Source organism: Homo sapiens, chromosome 3, assembly GCF_000001405.40.
Source record: "Homo sapiens chromosome 3, GRCh38.p14 Primary Assembly".
Classification (NCBI taxonomy): domain Eukaryota; kingdom Metazoa; phylum Chordata; class Mammalia; order Primates; family Hominidae; genus Homo; species Homo sapiens.
Window position 1 is genome coordinate 72,618,948 of NC_000003.12, and position 24,193 is coordinate 72,643,140.

Consider the following 24,193-nt stretch of genomic DNA (forward strand, 5'->3'; position numbering starts at 1 on the left):
AGATGCCAACTGACAGCCCCACAGATTGAGAAACATATGTCTTCCTCCAGAGGGGCCTTGCGTGTGGAGAAGCATGGGCGGTTTCTGAGGAGGGCAGCTGGGCGTGGGCATGCGTGGAGACCCAGCCATGGACCTCTACTCTCAAGGGCCAAGCCTGCCCCTCTAGAAACAGCCAAGGTGGGGAGGATGTTTCCTTAACAAAGATATCACCTCCGGGCACAATCTGACAATCTGTCTGGCTTCAAGCTTCAGTTCTGCCTGAGTTCTTCCAGCTTTGTTAGATTTTAGGTGGCTTGGGGTGGGAGGAAGAATGAAGAAGAAACACATCTTATCTTGATAGTGAAGACCCGGGGAATGAATTCAAGGGAAGGATGATGGATGAAGTGGAAGAAAAAGAAGAGAAAATATCCTTCCTAGATAAGATACAAGGGAACTGCTCATTCGTTCCTGCTCTCATTAACTACTTCACTCACCTTTCTCCAAATCATGACCCAAGCCTTCTTCTTTATTAAAAATAATATAACAAGAGTTATCAATTAGTGAGTGCTTGCTATAGAGCAGGTACTCTGCTAAACACTTTATGTATATTATCCTGCTTAATCTGCACCATTCTGGGAGATGGTTGTCTTACCTGTCCCTCCCCACTCCACCTCAGCTAAGCCATCCCACCCCTGCCATTTTATGGAAAAAGAAACTGAGGTTCAGAGAGGTCAAGTAGTTTGGCAAAGATTACAGAGCTCAGGCCAGAAAAGATGGCTCACACCTGTAATTCCACCACTTTGGGAGGCTGAGGAGGGCAGATCACCTGAGATCAGGAGTTCAAGACCAGCCTGGCTAACATAGTGAAACTCCGTCTCTACTAAAAATATAAAAATTAGCCAGGTGTGGTGGTGCAGGCCTGTAATCCCAGCTACAAGGGAGGCTGAGGCAAAAGGATCGCTTTAACCCGGGAGGCAGAGGTTGCAGTGAGCTGAGATAGTGCCACTGCACTCCAGCCTGAGTGATGGAGTGAGACTCCATCTCAAAAAAAAAAGAAAAAAGAAAACAAACAAACAAAAAAACAAAGATTACAGAGCTCATACATGGCAGAGCCAAGATTCTTACCCTGGCCTGTCAGCTTCTAGAGCCTTGATACTCAAAGTTGGTCAAGCAGCATCAGTATCACCTAGGAGCTTATTGGAAATACATTTGAGGACATCCCCACCCCAGGACCTATTAGATCAGAATCAGTATTTTTATAACATCACCAGGTGATTATTTTACACACTGAAGTTTGAGAAAAGCTGTCCGCTGTCCTAGAGCTTGTGTGGCCTCAGCCTTTGTCCTCCAGGTGGAAGCAGTCCTGAGGGCACTGGCTTAATGCACAGGCATTGACAGAGCCTTGGCTGATTGGTGATTGTTGCCCAGCACAGGTGGGCAAGAGCATATGCAATTGACCATTGTAGAATGGGGTTGAGGACACAACCGACCCCAGATTGCTGCTATCAAGCACAGTCATTGGGATGTCCCATTCTGCAGCCCCTCAAGACAACGTTACCAGTGGAAAGAAATTCTTTGTAAAATGTTTAGTTTTCTACTATGTATAATTTACATTCGGCTAAATACTCAAGTTTTACTCATGTAATCACTACCCCAGTGAAGGTATCAACATTCCCTGCACTCCAGATGGCTCTCTCCTACTCTATCCCCCTCAAAATCAACACCCTCCAAAATGACCTCTATTATCATAGATTCAGTTCACCTGTTTCTAAACTTCAACTAAATAGAATCACCCTGAATGTTTTCTTTTGTATTGATGTATCTGTGACATTCGGCCATGTTACTGTATATTTCAGTATTTCATTCTCTTTCATTACTCAGTAGTACTCCATACATGAACACACCACAGTTTCTGTGTTGTTTCTGTTTGGGGGATATTATTAATAAAGCTGCTATGGATATTTCCGTACCTGTTTTTGGGTAGACATCCACGCTCATTTCTCTTAGATTAAGTGCACAAGCATGGAATTGCTTTTATTCAGCATATATTAAGTTGTTTTGTTGTTGTTTGTTTGGGTTTTTCTTTTTGAGACAGAGTTTCTGTCTGTCACCCAGGTTGGAGTGCCCGGGTGTGATCTCAGCTCACAGCAACCTCTGCCTCCCGGATTCAAGAGATTCTTGTGCCTCAGCCTCCCAAGTAGCTGGGATTACAGGTGCACACCACCTTGCCCGCAATTTTTTTTTTTTTTTTTGTATTTTTAGTAGAGATGGGATTTCGCCATGTTAGCCAGGCTGATCTCAAACTCCCTATCTCAAGTGATCCACCTACCTCGGCCTCCGAAAATGTTGGGATTACAGGTGTGAGCCACTGCACCTGGCCCAACATATATTAAGTTATATTAGCTACTGTCAAACAGTTTTTCCAAGTGGTTGTACCAATTTATACTGCTGCTAAAATGTGTGAGAGTGGGGACTCTTTTTAAGCCTAGCCCCATAGTTAGCCAGGATTCCATTACTCTTTACTGAGTTGCTCTCCTTTGGAAAGAGAAAGAGAGATTTTCTCCTAATTTCTTATCCAAGAAATGATGGCATTACACATCATCTGAAATCAATAGATTGTCAATACCTGGTTGTTTGCCTTCAGGTATTGACAATAAAAGGATACAGAGCCCTTTTATGACACACCAGAAAAGACACCTGGTCCCAATGAGCTGCAACAATTGCATCTATATATTAATAGCTTCTGTTCACATTAGAAAAAAGCTCCCAAAGATGTAATCAACTTTTACAAACATATGGGGCAAATTTCTGGGCCATGCATGGGGAATTCATGGCACAACTCACATTAATGGTAACCTGAAATAATAGGAGCTCTGTCAAATTACACCCCTGAGGTCTTCTCCACATCGGAGGCCATATATTAACACTCACACCTCCCTCCTGGGACCCTTTGGTTGACTGGAAAGAGGTGAGACTTGGGTCTCAGAGGTATGGTCAGGGGCACAAAGCCCACACTAATCGCTCACTGACCCTTGACCAGCCATTTAGCCTTTCTACAACTCAATGTCCCTTCCAATAAACGGGCGGCCTGACTTCCAGACTTTCCTCTTTCCCCTCCCTCCTCTTTGCCTGCAAGTTCTGTTTCTCCATTCATTTTTTAAGACTTTTTATTTTGAAGTAACTTACAGAATTGAAGAATAGAAGGAACTCCTTTCTACCCTTTGCCCAACTTCACCAATTAACATTTTGCCATATTTGTTGTATCACTCCCCCTGTCAAAATAAATATCATCTTCCCCTAAAACATTTGAGAGTTCATTGTAGACATCACACCCACTTACCCCTAGTATTTCAGCATGCATTTCCTTAGAAAAGGACATCCTTTTATATAAGATAAAATAGAACTGTATTTAATATCAATGTTTATTTTTCTACTATGTATAATTTACGTTCAGCTAAATATTCAAGTCCTACTTGTGTAATCACCACCCAGATGAAGGTATCAAATCCCAGCACCCCAGATGGCTCTCTCCTACTCTCTCCCCCTCAAAATCAACACCCCCCAAAATGCACTATTCTGACCTGTTATCTAATACATAGTTCATATGTAAATGTCTCCAGCTGTCTCGATAATGTCATTTGTACTACTCCCGCTTCTCCTTACCCAGGGCCAGTCTAGGACCAGGCATTACATTTAGTGTACACGCATGTATTATCTCTTTTAATCTAATACTGTTTTTTAGCCTTTCTTTCTCTTTCATAATATTGGCATTTTGAAGAGTGCAGACCACTGGTTCTATAGAATGCCCTTGAACTTGTCACTGTATATACTCTTACCACCATCAGATTTGCAAATCCTCAGAAATGAAATGTTTTCTCCCCACCACGCTTTTGTTTGCACAAAACCCTCCACCTGGAATCCCCTTTCCTTTCTCTTTCACTGGGCAATTCCTACTCAACTTTCTCTGATACCCTTTCTTATGGCCCCCTAGGACTAAGATGAAAGCCCCTCCTGTAGGCTTTTACCACCCAAGCTTGGCCCATCTGAGCATCTGTCAAACTCTATTGTGCACAGTGGCTCACACCTGGAATCACAGCAACTTGGGAAGCTGAGGCAGGATGACTCCTTGAGCCCAGGAGTTTGAGACCAGCCTGAGCAACATAGCAAGACCTTGTCTCTAAAAAATAAAACATAGCTGTACTCTGCTGTCGTTGACCAGTGTCCCATCCAAGGCTCTCACTTCTGCCCAGTTCTGGCTCCCCCTAACAAGTTCAGCTCTGAAAGCCTGACATCATCTGCTACATGTCCAGGGTCCCTCTTTGAGTCATGGGTAACCTGGGGCATTGTAGAGTAGAGTACACCTGGTCTGTCAGGGGTGGCATGGCCTGTGTCACCAGCCAGTACTGGGGAAGCCCTCTGTAGATGGGGCCACCCTGCAGATGCCTGCAGACCACATGGAATACATGTGATCGTAACAACTACAGCAATAACAGCAATTTTAATAGTGAACGCATAGCACTTACTTGGTGCCATGTCTAAATTATTTACATATATTAAGTCACTACTGCTATGAGGCACACATTTCAATAGTGTGCACCTGGAATAATCTGAAGGCTCCTTCACGCACAAGCCTGGTGATTGATGCTGGCTGTTGCCTGAGGGCCTAGTAATGGCTATCAGCCGGAATGCCCAGATGTACCTCCCCATGTCGCCTCAGCTTCCTTAAAATATGGTGGCTGGGTTCCAAGAGTGAGTGTCCCCAGGTAGAGACAGAGAGCCAGAAAGACCCTAGATCATTTATGACTTAGCTTTGGAAGTCACATAGAATCACCTCTGCCACAGTCCTTTGGTCAGAGGAGTCACAAGCCCCCACTCGTATTCAAGGAGAGGGGACACAGACACCCTCCTCTGGTGGGAGAAGTGGCAGCCACATTGTGAGAAGAGTCCGCGGGATGAGCTGTGACATCTTTGGAAGATGCAGTTGGCCACCACTTGTTAGTGAGGAAGCAGGGATTTGAACCTGCACGGCCAGGCCCCAGAGTCCATACTGTTAACCAGCCTGCTGCACTTGCTCCAGAGCAGGTGAGGCCAGCAGCTGAGAACACTGAGCCTGGGACTAGCGCCCTTGCAGGGCCCCTTCTCTTGTCCACCCATCACTGTTTGAACCCCTTTCATGGACATCCATCCCAGAGCCTCAGGCCCCACTCCAGCCCCTTCTAGAACCTCTCTTTTATCTTCTTTCCCAATAGGCCTTGGGAGCCATTGAAACCAGCGCCCAATCATCAGCTACCAGAAGCACAGTTCTGCTTTCCTTCCTTCTGGCACTCATGAGTTGAGATGATGTTTGCTGCACTTATCAGGGACAGCTTCCTGGAGGAGTGCTCAGTTTCCCAGCGAAAATGGGCTGAGTTTTTTTAATGTAATGAAGAAAGAGAACTTAAAATTATGGTTTCCATCTCAAGGCAGCTTGAGTAGCCATATTCTACACTACCTTCCTCCCTAAGCTCTTCAGGGCTTAGTCCACCCCGTTGCCGCACGACCTGTCAAGCAGTAGGTGTTTTATATATTTTATGAATGAATTAACAAAGAGAGCAAATACGTTTTGAAAGATTACTCTTTGCCAGGTACTATCTTATACACTGTATAGATACTAATTTAATCCTCACAAAGACTCTATGAGGTCGATCTAATTAGTAAACTCATTTTACAGGCAGAGAAATGGAAAGATTAAGTAATTTGTCCAAGATCACAGAGCTAGTAACTGGTAGAGTCAACCATACTACCCCTCTTGACAAGATAGGAAAGAAGGAAGGAAGGAAGGGAGGAAGGGAGCGGGGTAGAGGGAGACAGGAAGAGAAGGGAAGGGGGAAAACAGGAAGGAGGGAGGGAGGGAAGAAGGGAAGGAAGGAAGGAAGGAATGAAGGAAGGAAGGAAGGAACGAAGGAAGGAAAGAAGGAAGGAAGGAAGGAATGAAGGAAGGAAGGAAGGAAAAAAAGCATTATAATTCTTTATCACTAGCCAAGGCATCCTCTGTCAAAATGTGAATGTTGTTTCTTGAAAGGTCACTACAAACTTTTCCCACCACAGTGCCCCATATTCCCACCTTTAAGTTCATGTCTTTGGACTAAGGTCACCAGATTACAAATGTCCTTCAACGAGGACAGCATCAGGTCCCAGGCCAATGCCCATGTATTCCATCTGTAAGTGGGTGCATGCTTTGTCAGAGGTCCGGAACTTTGGACCCTGAAACTGGCAAGTTTTGGGAGGTGGAGGGAAAGTAAAGTTAAAGAATATATGTCAATGCTTTGCAAAGAATATTATTTTTCTTTCTACCAGGAGGAGACATCACCTCAGAGGACAACCTAATAAAAAAAAATTCTTTCCAGGGAGGACTACAAGAAAAAGCAGGGTTTTCAGAGCCAGGTAAAGAGAATCCCCAAAGAAACCCTTCACCTAGATCACAGTATGGCCTGGGGCCTCCTGCATTCAGGCTAAGGCTGCTAAAGATTTTTTGATAAGAAAAAAACAAAGAAGAGATAGCAGAATTGTAGGAGACGATTAACTCAGGGGCAAAGTGACAAGGAGGAAAAGGAGGGTTAGGGTTAGGGTTGGCCATTAGTACTGGCAGTAGGTTACAGGAGGTTGGTCATTACTGATGGCCAAGCACTGGCCATTAGTAACAAGGAGGCCTTGGCGAAAGTCTAGCATAGGATGAGAAACTTGGAGGCCGAAGGTTAAGTTGCCAAACCCGGGTGGTGCACTGAAACGTAGCCTAAGTGAATCAGGAAAGCCCCGACCTCTGAGTAATCCACATTAGGCAAGAGCACTCCTGAAAAGCTGTATGCGAATCCAATGCTGGTCAAGGGAGACATGGTGTACAGTCATGCATCGCTTCGTGAAAAGGCTATGCTCTGAGAAATGCATCATTGGGCAATTTCATCATTGTGCAAGCATTTCAGAGTGCACTTACACAAACCTAGGTGGGAGAGCCTCCTACACACCTAGGCTAGATGGTGTAGCCTGTTGCTCCTAGGCTACCAACCTGTACAGCACGTAACTGTCCTGAACGCTGCAGGCAATTGTAATACTGTGGTAAGTATTTGTGCATCTAAACACAGAAAAGGTACGGTAAAGACACTGTGTAAAAGATAAGAAATGATACACCTGTATAGGGGACTTACCATGAACGGAGCTTGCAGGACTGGAGGTTGCTCTGGGTGAGTCATTGAGTGAGTGGTGAGTGAATGCGAGGGCCTACGACATTACTGTACCCTACAGTAGACTTTATAGACACTGTACACTTAGGCTATACCAAATTTATTTTAAAATACACTTTTCTTTCTTCAATAATTAACCTTAGCTTACTGTAACTTTTTAATGTCATAAACTTTCTAATTTTTTTAAAGCTTTTTGACTCTTTTATAATAAGACTTCAAACACAAACACAGGCCGGGCGTGGTGGCTCACGCCTGTAATCCCAGCACTTTGGGAGGCTGAGGCGGGCAATCACTTGAGCCCAGGAGTTCAAGACCAGCCTGGCCAACATGGCAAAACCTCGTCTCTATTAAAAAATACAAAAATTAGCTGGGTGTGTTGGCGCACACCTGTAGTCCCAGCTACTTGGGAGGCTGAGGCACGAGAATTGCTTGAACCCAGGAGGTGGAGGCAGAGGCTACAGTGAGCAGAGATTGTGCCACTACACTCCAGCCTGGGTGACAGAGTGAGACTCTGTCTCAAAAAACAAAACACAAACACAAACACATTTTTCAACTGTACAAAAATATTTTCTTTCTTTGTATTCTTATTCTATAAGCCTTTTTCTATTTAAAAATTATTTTTTTTTAAACTCTTTAAACAGTTTTTGAGAGGGTGAGGTAGGAGGATCACTTGAGGCCAGGAGTTCAAGATGAGCCTGGGCAACATAGCAAGACCCCACTCCCTGCAAAAGGAAAAAGAGCCAGGCATGGTGGCTCATGCCTGTAATCCCAGCATTTTGAGAAGCCAAGGTGAGAGGATCGCTTGCAGCCAGGAGTTTGAAACCAACTTGTACAATATAGTGAGACCTTGGTCTCTATAAAAAAAAAAATAAAAATTAGCTGGGCATGGTGGCTCCAGTATGTCATTCTAGATACTGGGAAGACTGAGGTGGGAGGATCACTTGGGGCCAGAAGTCTGAGGCTGCAGTGGGCCATGATTGCTGCCCTGCCCTCTACCCTGGGTGACAGAGCAAGACCTTGTCTCAAAAAGACAAACAAACAAAAAACTAAAACCAACCAAACAGACAAAAAAACAAAGACACAAACATACATGTTAGCCTAGGCCTGCACAGGGTCAGGACCATCAAGATGTCACTAGGTGATAGAAATTTTTCAGCTCTATTATAATCTTAGGAGACCACCATCGTATATGCAGTCTATCATTGACTGAAAAGTCGTTGTGTGGCACGTGACTGTATACTCAAAAACAGTAGATAGCTGCATTGGTTTGGGTTTCCTGAGAAGCAGCCCTTGAGACCAGGATCTCAGTGCAGGTGGTTTATTTGGGAGGTGAAACAGAAATGAGTAAGGAAGTGGAGAAATGAGACAGGCAAGAGCAGGCAGTTAATAAAGAGTGAGAAGAGTGAGTTACCACCCCACTACCACTGCCAGCAACTGGGGCTTCATCTCACGGGGATTTTTGCAGGGGCAGGGAGCCTGTAAAGACCCCTAAATTCCTAAACACAGGGAATTCTGTAAACAAATGATAGGATATGCTCTCAACAGAAAATGATGAAAAAACAAAAATAGATAATTTAATAAAAATTATTTATAAGCAATTTTTCACTGTAAACAAAACTTTTACTTATCTGTTCTTCCTCAGATTTCTCCATAGTGAGCACCCACAGATGACTTGTTTGATAAAAATGATAGACATTCCAAAAAACAAAACCAAAAAAGTACAACTCTAAAATATTTTAGGAGAATTTGCTAGGTAAAAAAAATGCTAAGGCAAATCCTGAAAAACAATGCTCCCCTCCAATAAGGGCCTCTTGGTTCCCTAGCTTGTCTTTGATATGAAAATGCAATTTTAAAAGAGGGGTGGAATATTTCCACATAGACAGCTGGCTGAGAGCCAGATGCACCTCTGCCTGATACCAAAGGAAGCCAGGTGTTTGCTGATGCCTGTGGAATCCAGGCACACACCCCCTGGCCACATCTTGTCATCCCAAGATGAGGCACTGCTCCTCAGTGCACCCCAGTCTGCGTGCAGCATCTGAAAAGTCAGGCTGGGGCCATTTGGCCCTGCCCTTCCCATCAGGCCCGCGGCCTTAGCAAGCTGGAGCCTGTTTGCCTAGACCTAGTGGAGTGGAGGCCTCTGCTGAGAGATCTGGAAGATCCTGTTGGGCAGGACCAACTTGATGGATGACCTGCTCATTGCCAAAGGAAGGCGGGGTGAGGGTGCAGATTCTCCTCCCCGAGACACCAAAACGTGCCCCAGGGGACCTTAGAAAATAACTGCTCTTCTCTCATACAGGGGCACAGAGTTGCTTCCTGTCAGATGGCAAATGGTAATCATGGTGGCTTTAAATATTCCCGCACAGCCTGGGGTGCCTGAAAGCATTTCAGAATCATGATGGGCAAAGCTGGAGGATACATTTTCCTTTCTTGTGCACCAGGTACGAAGACTCTCAGCTCCAGGCACAGCAGGAAAGTATGCCAAGTGCCTCTTGGCACTTCTCCTGGAAGCGTAAGGGGTCCCCTCCTTCATTCAGGCACCAACCTCCTTGCTCCCCACCCGCTAACTCTGCTATGGCCAGCCCAAACTTATCTTCTCTCCTGTTCACCCATACATCATCTTCCCTTCCTCTGAAAAACATTCCATCAAAGTTCACATTGCTCATTGCCTAGGGTTCAGCTTAATATTCATGGAGAAAATGATCTAATCAAACTACGTATTAACGAATAAGAACACCTTAATGTACTCAGCCAAAGGTATGAATCTCAAACAGCTGAATTTTACCATTTGGTGGCAGGCCAGTGAGCAGAGGCTTGTTTTGCTGAATGCCTTCCTAAAAAAAATCCCAAACCAGAACACCTAGCAACTGGAAATTGGCACTGCCCACCATAATTTCATAGGGAATATAATCTGTTAGAATGTTAAGGGAACTTGAAGACTACATCATAAAAATAGTAAACATGATTTGAGTAATTTTTATGCTGTACAAATTATCTTTTTTTAATCCATGCAATAGATATTCTCACCCCATTTTATAGATGCAGAAGCTGTGGCTTAGAGAGGTTAAGTAACCTTCCTATGACCACACTGCAACGGAGGAAGTTGAGATCTGAACCCTGAAAGCCTGGCTTTAGTTTGAACTCTTCTATGCATTACTGTCTTCCACTTCTTTTTGCAGCCTAGAACACTGAGATTGTATGAGGATTGGAGATACAGAGACTGATGAGTGAATGAGCAAGGCCAGAATCTTCCTACTTCTTGGCACTAGTTCTCTTTTATCAGAAAACAGGAAGTGCAATTCTATGAGTCACAGAGGTCAGAAGCAGGTAGGGAGAGCCTGACAATTACTTCTAACTAATTGGTATTCAATGTCTTTTAACCATGGCAACCTTTGTTCAAGTGAGATCTTACTTGGAAGTCCAATATATTCTGCAGATAAAAGTGAGTTCCTCGGGTTAAAGGTGCGAGAGGATAGCCCAAACTTTAATCTTGAACCTACAGTGGCCCCTGTGGCTTTTCCATGGAAGCCCTAGGCCTTGAGAAGCAGATCTGGAAAATCACTCCTTGTTGTTGATTGCAAAAATTGCCAAAATGCATTGCAGCTTCTCCCATCAAGAGGCAGAGCTATTTTCTCTACTCCCAGAACTGGGGTGGGCCTTGTGACTTGCTTTGACAGAATGCAGCAAAAGTGACATGGCGCCAGTTCTCAGTTGACGCCTCAAGAGACTTCATGCTCTTCTGTGCTTGCTCTTGGAACCCTTCCACCACCAAGTGAGCAAGCCCAGGTTGGCCTGCTGGACGGTGACAACCTCAGTCATCTCAGCCCAGCTCTCATTGTGCGAGAGCAGGATGGCCTGCTGGATGGCGACAGCCCCAGTCATCTCAGCTGAGACCGTCGCAAGCCAACCTGGCAGCTGATCATGCCCATCTGAGACCAGACCAGCCCAGTACAGACCCAAAGGACTGCCTGGCTGAGGCTGGCCAAATTGCTGACCTACACAATTGTGAGCTAAAGGTGAGTAAATGATGTTTTAAGCTATCAAGTTTTGGAGTCATTTGCTTTGCAGCAATAACTAATGGATATAGTTCCCTAATAGAAGAATCTCAAAATGACACCAAGGTCTTCCCCTCCGGTCTCCAAATGTGGAGGAATGGCACAGCAAGGAGTCCCTCCCCAGACATCCCCTATCCCCAATCCTAACCCAAGGCCCCCAAATCCACCTCTGCCTTAGGATGTAATGGGCAAAGGAGAGGCATCCCCAGCTGCCCTTATTCCAAACAGAATGACAATCACAGAGGGGAAATGAAAGACTCCTTTACATGATCCTACAAGAGCCAAACTTCCATCTAAAGAATTCAGTTGGAAATCCACTTGTGTGCAGCTGTTTCCTGCAAGTGCTTCAAGGCTTGTGGCATCCTCAAAGCCAGGGGTTGGGGGAGAAGCAGAAGGAAGAAGGGGAGAGGGCCTTAAAGGTTAAACCTGGCACATTAAAGCTGCTCAGAAAACACCAAAAAAATGTAAATGAACATTTTTAGCTGCAGTGGGAGAAAGGCAGCCCCGAGGCCGGGGGTTGATCTTTCAGAGTATCGGGCACACCGCAAAGCTGTCTCCATTTATTTACTTCTAATTGAAAGCTGGCGTGCTGAGGGTTACTCCACCCAGGCGTGAAGCGTAGCCATCCGTGAAAGATTTCCCAAGACCTCTCCCTCTGCAGAAGCATCCTTCATGTGCTTGAAAGGGAAAATGTCAAGGGGGCACTAAATTAAAACTCAGTTTTGTCTTTGAAAAATAGATTCAATCCTCAGTAGGACTTGGTTGGAGAGATACTAGCATTAGCATAATTTCTCAATGCATTTTATAGGCCAGTCAGAAAAAAAGGATATTCAGAAAATCTACCAGGAAAAAAAAAAAAGGTTTCATGGGGGGCCACACATGCTATTTTTCACAGAGAGAGACTCCTGGGACTCGTGGTTGACAATGGGTGGTTTTCTCGGTGAAATTTTACCTCTTCAGGGATGGTTTCAACACAATTGGTCAGCTGGTGGTAAATGCCATCCAAGAAAAATAAGTTGGCTGGCTTTCATGACTGTCATCCATATCCAAGTTCATTAGTTCACTCACTCATTCACTCCCTTCATGGATTCAGCAAACACTTATTGAGTCCCTGTGACGTGCGAGGCCCCGTGCTGGCTACTGGGCATACAACGGTGCCCATGACAGCCCACTCAACGCCTACAGTCTACCGGGAACGAGAGACAAGCCAGCGTGTTAAGAGAGTCCTCCATCTATGTGAGAGTACCCTCTGGAAAGCCTTCTGTGAGTCAGTTTTGCACATAAGCCAGATGGATTAAAACTCTGGCCCATTCAGTGGGTGCCCGTCAAGCAGCATTGGAAACATGTGAGCTTGCATGTGGCTGCCTACTTTGCTTCCTGCCTTTCTTCTTAGGCAAACTTTATCAATAGTGAATAAAGACTGGAGTCGGGCAGACATCCATCCAAATGCAGCCTCCATCTTACTATTGATACAGTCTCGGGCAAGACACCTGACTCTCAGAGCCTCATGTTGCTCATTGGTAAAACGAGGACAACAGCAGTCCTATGGCAGAAACCACCTGCCTCATCTTAATTTCCCTTTTTTTTTTAAGGAACAGAACCTTGGCATTACTAAGCACTGCAGTGAGCCTGGCCAAGAGACTACCTTGACCAGCCCACCTCATGGCTAGGTATGGCCATGAGAGCAATCTCTGGCCCATGAGATATAAGCAGAGTTGTTGGGTGGGATTTCTGAGAAAGTGTCATAAGGTGGGATTTGTTAAGCTGGCACTTAAAACAATTTTTTTGGCCTTCCTCCCTTCCTTCATAGTCAGAAATGTAGACATAATGGCTGGAGCTACAGCAGCCACATTGGAGCATGAGGTAACCTTGAAGATGGAACACCTGCACTATAAAACAAAAAGAGCACAAGACTGTGATGACCACAGAGCTACTATTAAGCCCATGGCTACCAAGCTCCCGGCTTTTTGTGTGTGTGAGAAAAATTATCTTTTGAATCATTGTTATTCCTGGTTTCTTTCTAAAAACTAAAGGCAATTCCTAATACAAGTAGTCATACATGTTACTGTGGTCGTTGAATGAGGTCATTCATGTAAAGTGCTTAGCCCAGCACCTGGCCCACAGTGAGCACTTAGGGCAGAAGAGTTCACATTGTTCTTATGCACATGAAATATTTACATCGTCTTAGTCAGCTCGGGCTGCTGTAACAAAATACCATAGACTAGGTGGCTTAGGCAATAGATATTTATTTCTCACAGTTCTTAAGGCTGTGAAGTCCAAGACCAGGGCGCTGGCCCATTTGGTTCCCTGGTGAGAGGTCTCTTCCTAACCTGCAGATAGCCACCTTCTCACTGTGTGCTCACATGGTGGAGAGAAAGGGAAAGAACTCTGCTCCCTTTTCCTATTCGTAAAAGGACACTCATTGCATCAGGGGGACCCCACTCTCATGACCTCATCTAAATCTAATCACAGTCGGGCACAGTGGCTCATGTCTGTAATCCCAGAACTCTGGGAAGCCAAGGCAGGAAGATTGCTTGAGCCCAGGAGTTTGAGACCAGCCTGGGCAACATGGCAAACCCCATCTCTATCAAAAAATTCAAAATTAGCCAGGTGTGGTGGCACCATGCCTGTGGTCCCAGCTACTCAGGAGGCTGAGATGGGAGGATCACCTGAGCCCAGGGAGGTCAAGGCTGCAGTGAGCTATGATTGCACCACTGCACTCCAGCCACAAAATGAGAGACTGTCTCAAAAATCAAACAAATAAATAAAATAAATCTAATCACCTCCCAAAGGCCCCACATCAAAATATCATCATTTTGGAGGTTAGGACTGCAATGTATGAACTTAGGGGAAATACAGACTTTCAATCTACAACATCCATGGACCCTACCAAAAGGGTGTATCTGAGTTTGCTTAATTTACATTAGTACAAGTGGGAAACCTCCTGGGTTATAGTTGAGTCCTGAGGGTTATGATAAGGGGAGATGAGAATCCTGGAGGACTAAGAGTGTAATGTGATGACTGGGCATTGGAGATTGTGCCCATAACCCATTCTTTCTGGCGGCACTTCAATGGGAGGGTCAGTCATTCATCAAAGCCATTCCTAACTCATGAAAGTAAAACCACAACATCTGATTAAGAAAAGAAGACCTCGAACTATGAAATTGATGGTCGAACCACATATCCATGATGCATGTGATTTTTTGCTTTGTAAATAACAAAATAACTACAGTAGGGACTGCATTGAGTGTGTTCCAGGCACTGTCCTGGGTCTTGTCGAGGGAGTGAATCAGTCAGCAGCCAGCAGAAGCAGAGGGGTGCACTCGAATTGGGAGCTTTGAGAACGGCTCAATAGAGAGACCATTTGCAAAGGTGTGGGTGAGACGTAGAGAAAACACAGGTGACAGTGGAGCTGACAGCCTCTGGGACTGAAGCAACAAGGAGACAAAGCCTTTACCAGGGCCTTTGGAGAGGGCTCCCCACCAGGAGCTAGGGCCTTTGGTGACAAGACATGGCCAGCTCACGCTGACCCCAGCAGAGTCACCGCTCTCCTGCTCCAGCCTCATGTTTTTCATAGGCTGAAACCTACCAGAACCAGAGGGCAGTGGAGCCCCGTGACCACAACCCACCTGAGTCAGATCAGCCTCCCAGACACTGAGCAGGGTCAAAAAAAGTGGAGAGTGACTGGGTAGGGGGAGCATAGGGCTTTATTCACTTAATCCTCAACAACTACCTTATGAATTAGGTACCATTATTACCCCCCCTTTTACAAATGGGGAAACTGAGGCCCAGAGAGAGCCATGAAACCATTTACATATTTAAAATATATAAATTTGTAAAGAAGTACTGCTTAGATCCTCTAAAATGAGATGATTTCCTGTTACCCAAATTATTGGAAGTAAGCTATTTCTATTGAGTTGTAAATACAAATCTATATTAGAGTTTAAGATACATGACAGCTCATGCCCCCATGAGGTGCATATTCTGATGATTTCAGTTTTACTGTTGAAGAACCAGAGGTTTAATGAGGTTGAACTAGTTGACTTCTAGGATCCTTTGAAATCAGAATAGACTCTAATGCAGTCACTACTTTAACCATTACTTTTGATTTGTAAAAACAGAACTATAAAAAGTCCCCACCACTAACAACAAAAATTTGTGCTGAAATAACAAAACTCTTTCCATTGAAATTTACCACTGCAGTAAATCCTTCCACTGAGTGACACTAAGGTGATTGACATCAGTGAGAATAGCACCAGCAATCGAAAATCAGGGGCAAATATGTTCTGCCCCTCTTAACTGTATTCCTGGCCATCACGCCTAAAACTCCCACTTTCATCCCTCCTCTGCATTCTAAGACTGAAGTTTCTAGGAGAAAAAGAAAAGGTTTTCCTGAAGCAATGATATCTCACAGGGTTATGGGCCGTGGTATTAGTTGAGATTCTGCCCAGAACAAACTGAAGGAAATCCAACTCAGACTGGCTAAAGCTAAAAAGGCAATCTGTTAGCTCATGTCCTAGGATAAGGCTGGCTTCAGGTATCCATTGATTCAGGGCTCAAAGGGTGTCACCAGGAACCAGCTTCCCTCTCTGTGTCTTGACAGTACTCGCTTGATGTTGGCCTCATTCTAAGCCTCATGTAGTTGCCAAGTGGTTGCCAACAGCTCCTTGGACCACACTCCATCCAGCATCATATCCAGCAGAAAAGCAGGATTGTACTGCTTCAGTAATTCAAATGAAAATCCTAGCATTAAGTCTCTTGGGCCCTGATTGGCATGGTGTGGATCACAGGGCTACTATGGCCAAGGGAATGGAATATCCCAGTGGGGGCAGGGTTTGACCCTCTCCTACACCACAAGGACTGAAACTGGAAAAGGGATGATCCTATAGAAGCACGAGGGCTGCTGCCAAAAGAATGGAGAAAGGATGCTGGGGAAAAAACAGCCCACGTCTGCCATAGTCATCAATATCTTATCAACAGTCATCAATACCAGAAATATGGACCAGGGAACCTCCACAGCCCAGAAACTGGCTACAGGAATCCCAAAGTTCTCCAAGCCACAGAATTTGGGGACTTGTCAGTAATCTCCTCCCACTCACCTCCCCCAGCTGTTTCCACCTATCCCGACCTTTTTAATTTGGAGAAGGGGCTACAAAGGTGGAAAATGTGCCTCCCAACACAATCCCCTTCAGTTTTCCACTCTGTTCTTAGAGGATTCCTCCCCTTGTCCCTTGCATCTGAGCTTGAATATGATGCTTTCCCTGAAGCCATCTCTAATAAAATCCATACCTTCCCACCTTCCCCAAGAGTCAAAAGTCCCTCTTTTATGTACTCACAAAATTTGTACACACATCATATTGAAAGTATTTGCACACCTGTCCCTTATATTCCGTACTCACACATGCTCACTCCACTCACACCTAACCAGATTAGAAGCTGTTTGAGGACAGAGGTTTGCTTTCGTTCTTCTCTGAGCCCCTAATGTGCAGCATAACATCAGGGATAGTATTCAGGAATGAATGACTGAGTGAATGAATGAATGAATGAATGAATGAATGAATGAAAACTTTCTACAGCTCTATACCATTAAACAAACATCACAGCATGCATTAGGACATTTAGTCAATCAACAGTATTTAGTAAACTCCTATTGTGTAGACAACAGACACAAACGATTGAAAATAAAATCAGTAAAAGGAAAAGCAATGGTATATGTATCCTGCGCATTTCAAAATAGCAATGCCCTGAAATAAAAAGAATGTGCTTTTTTTTTTTTTTTTTCTTTTTGAGACAGAGTCTCACTCTGTTGCCCAGGCTAGAGTGCAGTGGCACAATCTCAGCTCACTGCAACCTCCACCTCCCGGGTTCAAGCAATTCTCCTGCCTCAGCCTTAGTAGCTGGGATTACAGGTACACGTCACCATGCTCGGCTAATTTTTGTATTGTTATTTTTGTATTTTTATTTATTTATTTTTCTTTTGGAGACAGAGTCTCACTCTGTCACCCAGGCTGGAGTGCAGCAGCACGATCTCAGCTCACTGCAACCTCCACTCCACGGGTTCAAGTGATTCTTATGCCTCAGCCTCCTGAGTAGCTGGGATTACAGGTGTGCATCACCATGCCTGGTGAATTTTTTTTTTGTATTTTTAGTAGAGAAGGGGTTTCGCCATGTTGCCTAGGCTGGTCTTAACCTCCTGAGCTCAGGCAATTCGCCCACCTCAGCCTCCCAAAGTGCTAGGATTACAGGTGTGAGCCACCATGCCCAGACTAATTTTTATATTCCTAGTAGAGATAGGGTTTCACCAGGTTGGCCAGGCTGGTCTCAAACTCCTGACCTCAAGTGATCCACCCAGCTCAGCCTCCCAAAGTGCTGGGATTACAGGTGTTAGCCACTGTGCCCGGCTGTACATCCATTCTTGTGAGGGAGCTATACCCTCAGGAAGGGGAACGAGGGCCTAAAAGATCCCGAAAAGCCACCGTGATGTCTGGGGGAGGAAATGTGCTGGGTTTGTCCGCCAGGTGCAATGCTCAGCATGGTCTAGGGCGTATCAATGAGTTGTGAAAGCACAATTCAGAAATCAGATTTAAAAGACAGAGTCCTGCACTGGAGTCTTGACTTTGCCCCTTCCTATGGGATCTCAGTCAGGATATTCAACCTCTCTGGGCCTCCATTTTCTTGTTTGGAAAATGGGGACCATCACCCCATGAGCTGCCTCAGGCCTCCATTGACCCGCTATCCTTGATGTCTCTCTTCTTTTTCCCCCACACCTTCAATCTGTCAGCAAGCCCACCTGCTACATCTAGACTCCTACTTCCGAACTTCCATCTGGACCACCACTGTGACAAGAACCCCTTGAAAAATACTCAGTTCCTTAAGTTCTATTACCAAGCAGTGGAGTTGGGTGGGGCAGTGAGCTTCACTTCCAACACTCATCTGAGTCTGCCTGCGTCTGAGCCATGATAGAGAGGGAGAACCATACCCTGAGGTCAGCAGCAGCTTCCTGGACAGTTTCCTTCCTTCTTTATCCTGTCGCGGGTCTTTCAACCTCTTCCCTAGCCAGCCCCCAGAGCAATGGTGTAAACACAGAGTCAGACCCCAGACTCTCCTGCCTAAAACTCCAGGGGCTTTCCCCATGGCCGCAATGCCCTCCATGCTTAACCCAGCTTCCTTCCCCTCCATGTGGACTCCACTCCCCACCCACCTGCTTCCTCTGTTCCAGCTTGCTGGCCTTTATTCACCCCCTGCACGTGCCCAAGATGCTCCTATCTTGGGACTCTGCCCCCTCTTATTCCCTCTGCAGGAGAGCTCGCTCCTCCTGTATCTCTGCAGCTGAATCCTTGGTGTCATTCAGCAATCAGCTCAGCGGGGCCTTCCCTGACCACTCATTCTAAATTGAGCAGAGCACAAGCTCTCTGCCACCTTCCTGTTTTATTTCCTTCATAACACTGATTACTACTTCAAGCCATCTTACTCATTTGCTTAATTGCACGTGAACTAGAATGTAAGCTTCACAAAGGCAGGGATGAAATTTGTCTTGTTCACCACTTTGTCTCCAGACCCTAGAATAGCACCTGACACATAATAAATGCTCAATAAATATTTGATGAATGAAAGGAGGAAGGAAAGAAAGGAGGGAGGGAGGGAAGGAGCACCTCCCTCAAAGGGTGATTATAAAGACTCGAGCATTTACATAAAGCACATAGATCATAAATCCAGGCACAGACCGGGAACTGTGACTCAAGCCTGTAATCCCAGCACTTTGGGAGGCTGAGGTGGGCGGATCACTTGAGGTCAGGAGTTCGAGACCAGCCTAGCCAACATGGTGAAACCCTGTCTCTACTAAAAATACAAAAATTAGCCGGGCGTGGTGGCACATGCCTGTAATCCCAGCTACTTGGGAGGCTGAGGTAGGAGAATTGCTTGAACCTGGGAGGCGGAGGTTCCAGTGAGCTAAGATCGCGCCACTGTACTCCAGCCTGGGCGACAGAGCAAGACACCATCTCAAAAAATCAATCAATCAATCAATCAATCAGTCAATCAGTCAATCAGTCTAGGCACAGAGCCTGGACCCCAGGAAATACTTAATACATGGTCATTATTATTCAGTTTCTGGGATAGAAGAGTGGGTAGAATGCCCACATGCACACGCATGCACACATGCACACACACACGCACACACATGTGCACACACACACAAACACACACGAGAAAGGAAAGCAAAGAAAGTGCCCCCATTTTGCTTAGACTCACCTGGCTTGTGCAGAGAACATTTGAGGCCCCTGACTAAGCAGCATCCCCCTGGGCTCCCCTGGATCTGATGCTTGAACCCAGTTCAGACCCCAAGAGTTTGGAGTTCATTTTCTTTTGGCAAACCATCAGCTTTTCTTTTCTAAGGGAAAAAATAAAATACAAAAAGACACTCACATAACATCTTGGAGATCAAATGGCTCTTGGAAAACTGCATTTTGATGAGTGAGGGAATCAAAACCATATGGATTAAATTCTCCTTAGATCTCCTAGGGGGAAATGGGAGCAGGGAGCGGGGTTAGGGCAGAAGGGATGGTGGTGGAAGTCAGCATTGATTTTTACCAACACAAAGACGGTGTGGGAAGGACCCACCGAGATGTCTCAGGTCCTTCAAAGCAATTTGTTGACCACATTCCAACTGGCTCAACAAGGAGGAAAATGTGAACTTAAAAAAACACAAAACACCCTGTTTCTTTTCTCCTGGTTTCCCCTCCCCACATTGGCCCAAGCACTGGGGTCTTGTTAGTGACCAGTAAAAGGGTAGTGGATGGACATTAAGCTTGTATAATTTATTTCAGAAATCAACCTTTAAGTCTCTCCCCGAGGAAAGGGTCTGAAATATCTGCTGAAGCCAAATATTTGTAAACTAGTACTCAAGGTGAGTGTTTTTGTTTTGTTTTGTTTTTTGAGACAGGGTCTCACTCTGTCACCCAGGCTGGAGTGTGGTGGCATGATCACGGTTCACTGCAGCCTCCACGTCCTGGGCTCAAGCAATCCTCCCACTTCGGCCCCTCAAGAAGCTGGGATTACAGGCCTGTGCCACCGTGCCCGGCTAATTTTTTACAATTTTTTTTGTAGAGATGAAGTCTCACTATGTTGCCCATACTGGAGTGTTTGTTCATTTTTTATTTATTTATTTATTTATTTATTTATTTATTTATTTATTTATTGTTGAGACGAAGTCTCACACACTCTGTCACCCAGGCTGGAGTGCAGTGGCACAATCTCAGCTCACTGCAACCTCTGCCGCCCAGGTTCAAGAGATTCTCCCACCTCAGCCTCCCAAGTAGCTGGGATTACTGGCGCATGCCACCATGCCCAGGTAATTTTTGTATTTTTAGTAGAGATGGAGTTTTACCATGTTGGCCAGGCTGGTCTTCAACTCTTGACCTCAAGTGATCCACTCACCTCAGCCTCCCAAAGTGCTGGGATTACAGGTGTGAGCCACCACGCCTGGCCTTGGAGTATTCATTTTTTAATGGTCATGTTCCTATCTACATTCTACTAATGCTGGCATGTTGCAGAAGGCTGACTAGAAGAGACTGGATAAATAAAGCATGATTCATGCTGTCATTTGCTGCAAGAGGAACAAGTGCTTCCATTTTTTTTTTTACCTAAAGACAGAGAAAACTCAAAAGCTGTTTCCTCTGTTCTTCTCGTCCTGATCTCCTGGGAGCAGGTGACATACAGGTCACCAGTCTGTGTGACGTAGTGAATATAGATGGCATTTCCTGAGTGCTTACACTGTATGAGGTTTTGAGCATCATCTCATTTTATCCTGCCAAACCATTTCAAAGGGGTTGCTGTGTCTCATTGTACAGGCAAGAAAACTAAGGCACAAAGAAGTTAAGCAACTTAACCCAGGTCACACAGCTAGTAGTGGCAGAGCTGGGATTTAAACCAAGGGTTTTGTCAATGCCAGAGCCTATATTCCTAACCACTATTCTCCTCAAAATTTATCCTGTGCTTTGAGAATTTGTGTCTTTGCTTTTGCTGTTCCATGCATCCAAAAAGCCTTTCCCACTATCTCTATATTTCCTCCAGCCACCTGATGAAATATTCCCCACTCTCCAAGCTGGATTTTATGTGTCCATGAAGGCTTTTTGGAAACCCCCAAATCTGTTGAGATTTCTGCCACCTCTGAACTCCAAAATGTCTTGTGCTCCTCTGGGGCTGACCAACCATAATAAAGACAGTTTAGTATGATGGTTAGGAGCCCAAGCTTTAAATGAGACAAATTTGTTGTTGTCGGATTTTGTTTGTTTGTTTGTTTTTATTTTGAGACAGGGTCTCGCTCTGTCACCCAGGCTGGAGTGCAGTGGTGCAATCACAAGTCCCTGCAGCCTTGAACCCCTGGGTTCAAGCAATCCTCCCACCTCAGCCTCCCAAGTATCTGGGACTACAGGCTCACACCACCACACCATGCTAATATTTTTTTCTTATTTTTAGTAGACATGGTTGTGGCAGGGGGCTCTCACTATGTTGCCCTGGCTGGTCTTAAACTGCTGGGCTCAAGCGGTCCTTCCACCTCAGCCTCCCAAATTGCTGGGATTACAGGCATCAGCCACCAAGGCTGGCTGCCAAAGTTGCATTTCATCCTCTGCTGGAACACTATAAATTTACAAATCACTCCAAGACTCAGATTCCTCGTCTATAAATGTGGGAAGAATGAAACAACCCGGTGTGAGCAAGCAACACGCCAACTAACGCATGCAAGGCACAGAGCAAGAGTGCAATCCATGTCGGCTGCTGCTTTCTAGTTATTTGGGTGCTTGTTTGAGCTCCTTCACCTGGGTGTAAATTTTCCCAGGAAATGTAATCCTCACTGATTCAGGCAGTGATTGGATTAGGCATTTCACTGACTGAGTTTGGAGAGGAAGAGAGGAGAAAGGGGACTGGCGGGAGCAGTAGATGGAAGTAGGGCTCAGAGGGAATAAATGCAGCCAATGTGGAGTGAGTGCTTGTCATGTGACAGGGTTTCCAAGATGAATTAACCTCACAACCACACTGAGAAGTAAGTGCTGTTATTATCCCCATTTTACAGATGAAAAAACTGAGGCCCAGGGAGGCGGAGTGACTCGCCCAAAGCCATGTATCAGATAAGTGCAGAGTCAGGAATCGAACCCAGGCATTCTGGGATCCAAAGTCCAAGATCTTACCTGCTTACAGATCTTACAGATTGCCCCCCCCAAAGAGGGGATTTTTAAAGCTTTTAAGTAGTAACAAAACAAAGAGGCTGGGAGTGGCCAGTCTGGATTGACAGGATTTTGTCAGGCACAAATGTTGGGATAAGTTTGCCAGTGCTTTCCTGGGAGTTTATTCAATTCGGGGAAGTGGTAGGGACTCCCCCAAGAAGCCATGGCCACTTTGAGCTTGCACATAGACTTGATAAAAAAAAAAAAACAGGTAAAATGCTGATGGGGTAGGGAGGCTTCCTTGTCGGGAGGCGGGGGGTGGTCTGTGCATGTATTTTACCATGGCCATACATATTTTCCCATTTTTTCTTGAAGGGCTTGATTTAACACATACCTCAAGGTGAGAGTCAGTAAATAACTTCATGACTAAGGAAAACTTCAGAGACCTCTATGATGGTGAAACATCTAAATTAGTCCTAAAAAGGTGAGGGATCAAGGAAGGCTTCCAAGAGGAAGGGACAGCCAAACTGAAACCAGAGGCTGAGTCAGAGTCTGCTTACTAGGGAAGACACTTTGAGGAGGTTCACTCAACAGTCATTTCCAAACCTTTTCTCCCCTGTCCTCCCCTGTGGAGCCTTGAAGAGCTAAATAGCTCCCAGGGCCGGGCATAGTGGCTCACGCCTATAATCCCAGCACTTTGGGAGGCCAAGGTAGGTGGATAACCTGAGGCCAGGAGTTCGAGACCAGCCTGGCCAATATGGTGAAACCCCATCTCTACCACAAAATACAAAAATTAGACGGGCGCAGTGGCTCACACCTGTAATCCCAGCTACTCAGGAGCCTGGGAGGCTGAGGAGACAGCATCGTTTGAACCCAGGAGGTGGAGGTTGCAGTGAGCCAAGATCACACCACTGCACTCCAGCATGGGCTACAGAGTGAGACTCTGTCTATAAATAAATAAATATATATGTAAATAAATAGCTTCCCAATCTTCCTTGAAGCTAGAGGTGTCCAAGTTCAGCCAAGGTAACTCCAACAGAAGCCTGCTAGAGGTGTTTCTGAAAAAAATTTCACTTTTCTCATGAAAGAGACAGAAATGGCTGGCTTGGCCCTTTCTTGTTCTTCCTGCCTTGAAGATGGATGTAATGCCTGGAGCTGCAGCAACCATCTTATGACCATGAGGTAATCAAGGTTGGGACGAAAGATAAGAGAATGGCACAGAATCAGCCCTGGCATCATCATACTGCTGAAGCAATGCTAGTTACTGCCCACTTCTACATTTCTAATGTCATGGGAGGGTCTTATCTGCCAAAGAGCTGCAGGGAAAGAGCTGCTATTTGACTCACTTTAAGTCCGTTTTTCCCCAATCCCTTGCGATTGAAAACATTTCTAACTTATACACTAGGCAAAGTGGAAAATATAGATAGGGAGACACACAAGCTAACATGTTCCAGGCAGAGGGTCTAATGTGTGCAGAAATCTAGATGGTAGAAGACTGCGGCATTTTCAAAGAAAACAGAAGCAATGTAACCAAAGTTCATGTTGCTGGTGTGACTGGTGGCTAGTGGGTGCTGGCTGTGGCGAGCAATATGACTGGACAGTTACACAGGGGCTATGTCAGGCACGGCCTTGTACAACTTTTGAGTTTAGAACTTGGACATTATAACAATGGGGCACTATGGAAAGCTGTGTGTGTGTACACGTGTGTGTGTGTGTGTGTGTCTAATCAGGGTAGTGACTGGGACAAAGTTAAGTCCTTAAAAGATGCTTCTGGCTAGAGTTC

General features: G+C 45.3%; 1 long non-coding RNA gene across 1 annotated transcript in view; it reads right to left on the reverse strand.

Moving 5' to 3' along the window:
- LOC105377161 (uncharacterized) overlaps nucleotides 1-24,193 on the reverse strand; it is a 134,312-nt gene that overhangs the window by 36,818 nt on the left and 73,301 nt on the right. Inside the window, exon 8 of the long non-coding RNA XR_940962.3 lies at nucleotides 19,499-19,637. This is a non-coding gene — a long non-coding RNA (uncharacterized LOC105377161). The remainder of the gene's footprint in view (nucleotides 1-19,498; nucleotides 19,638-24,193) is intronic.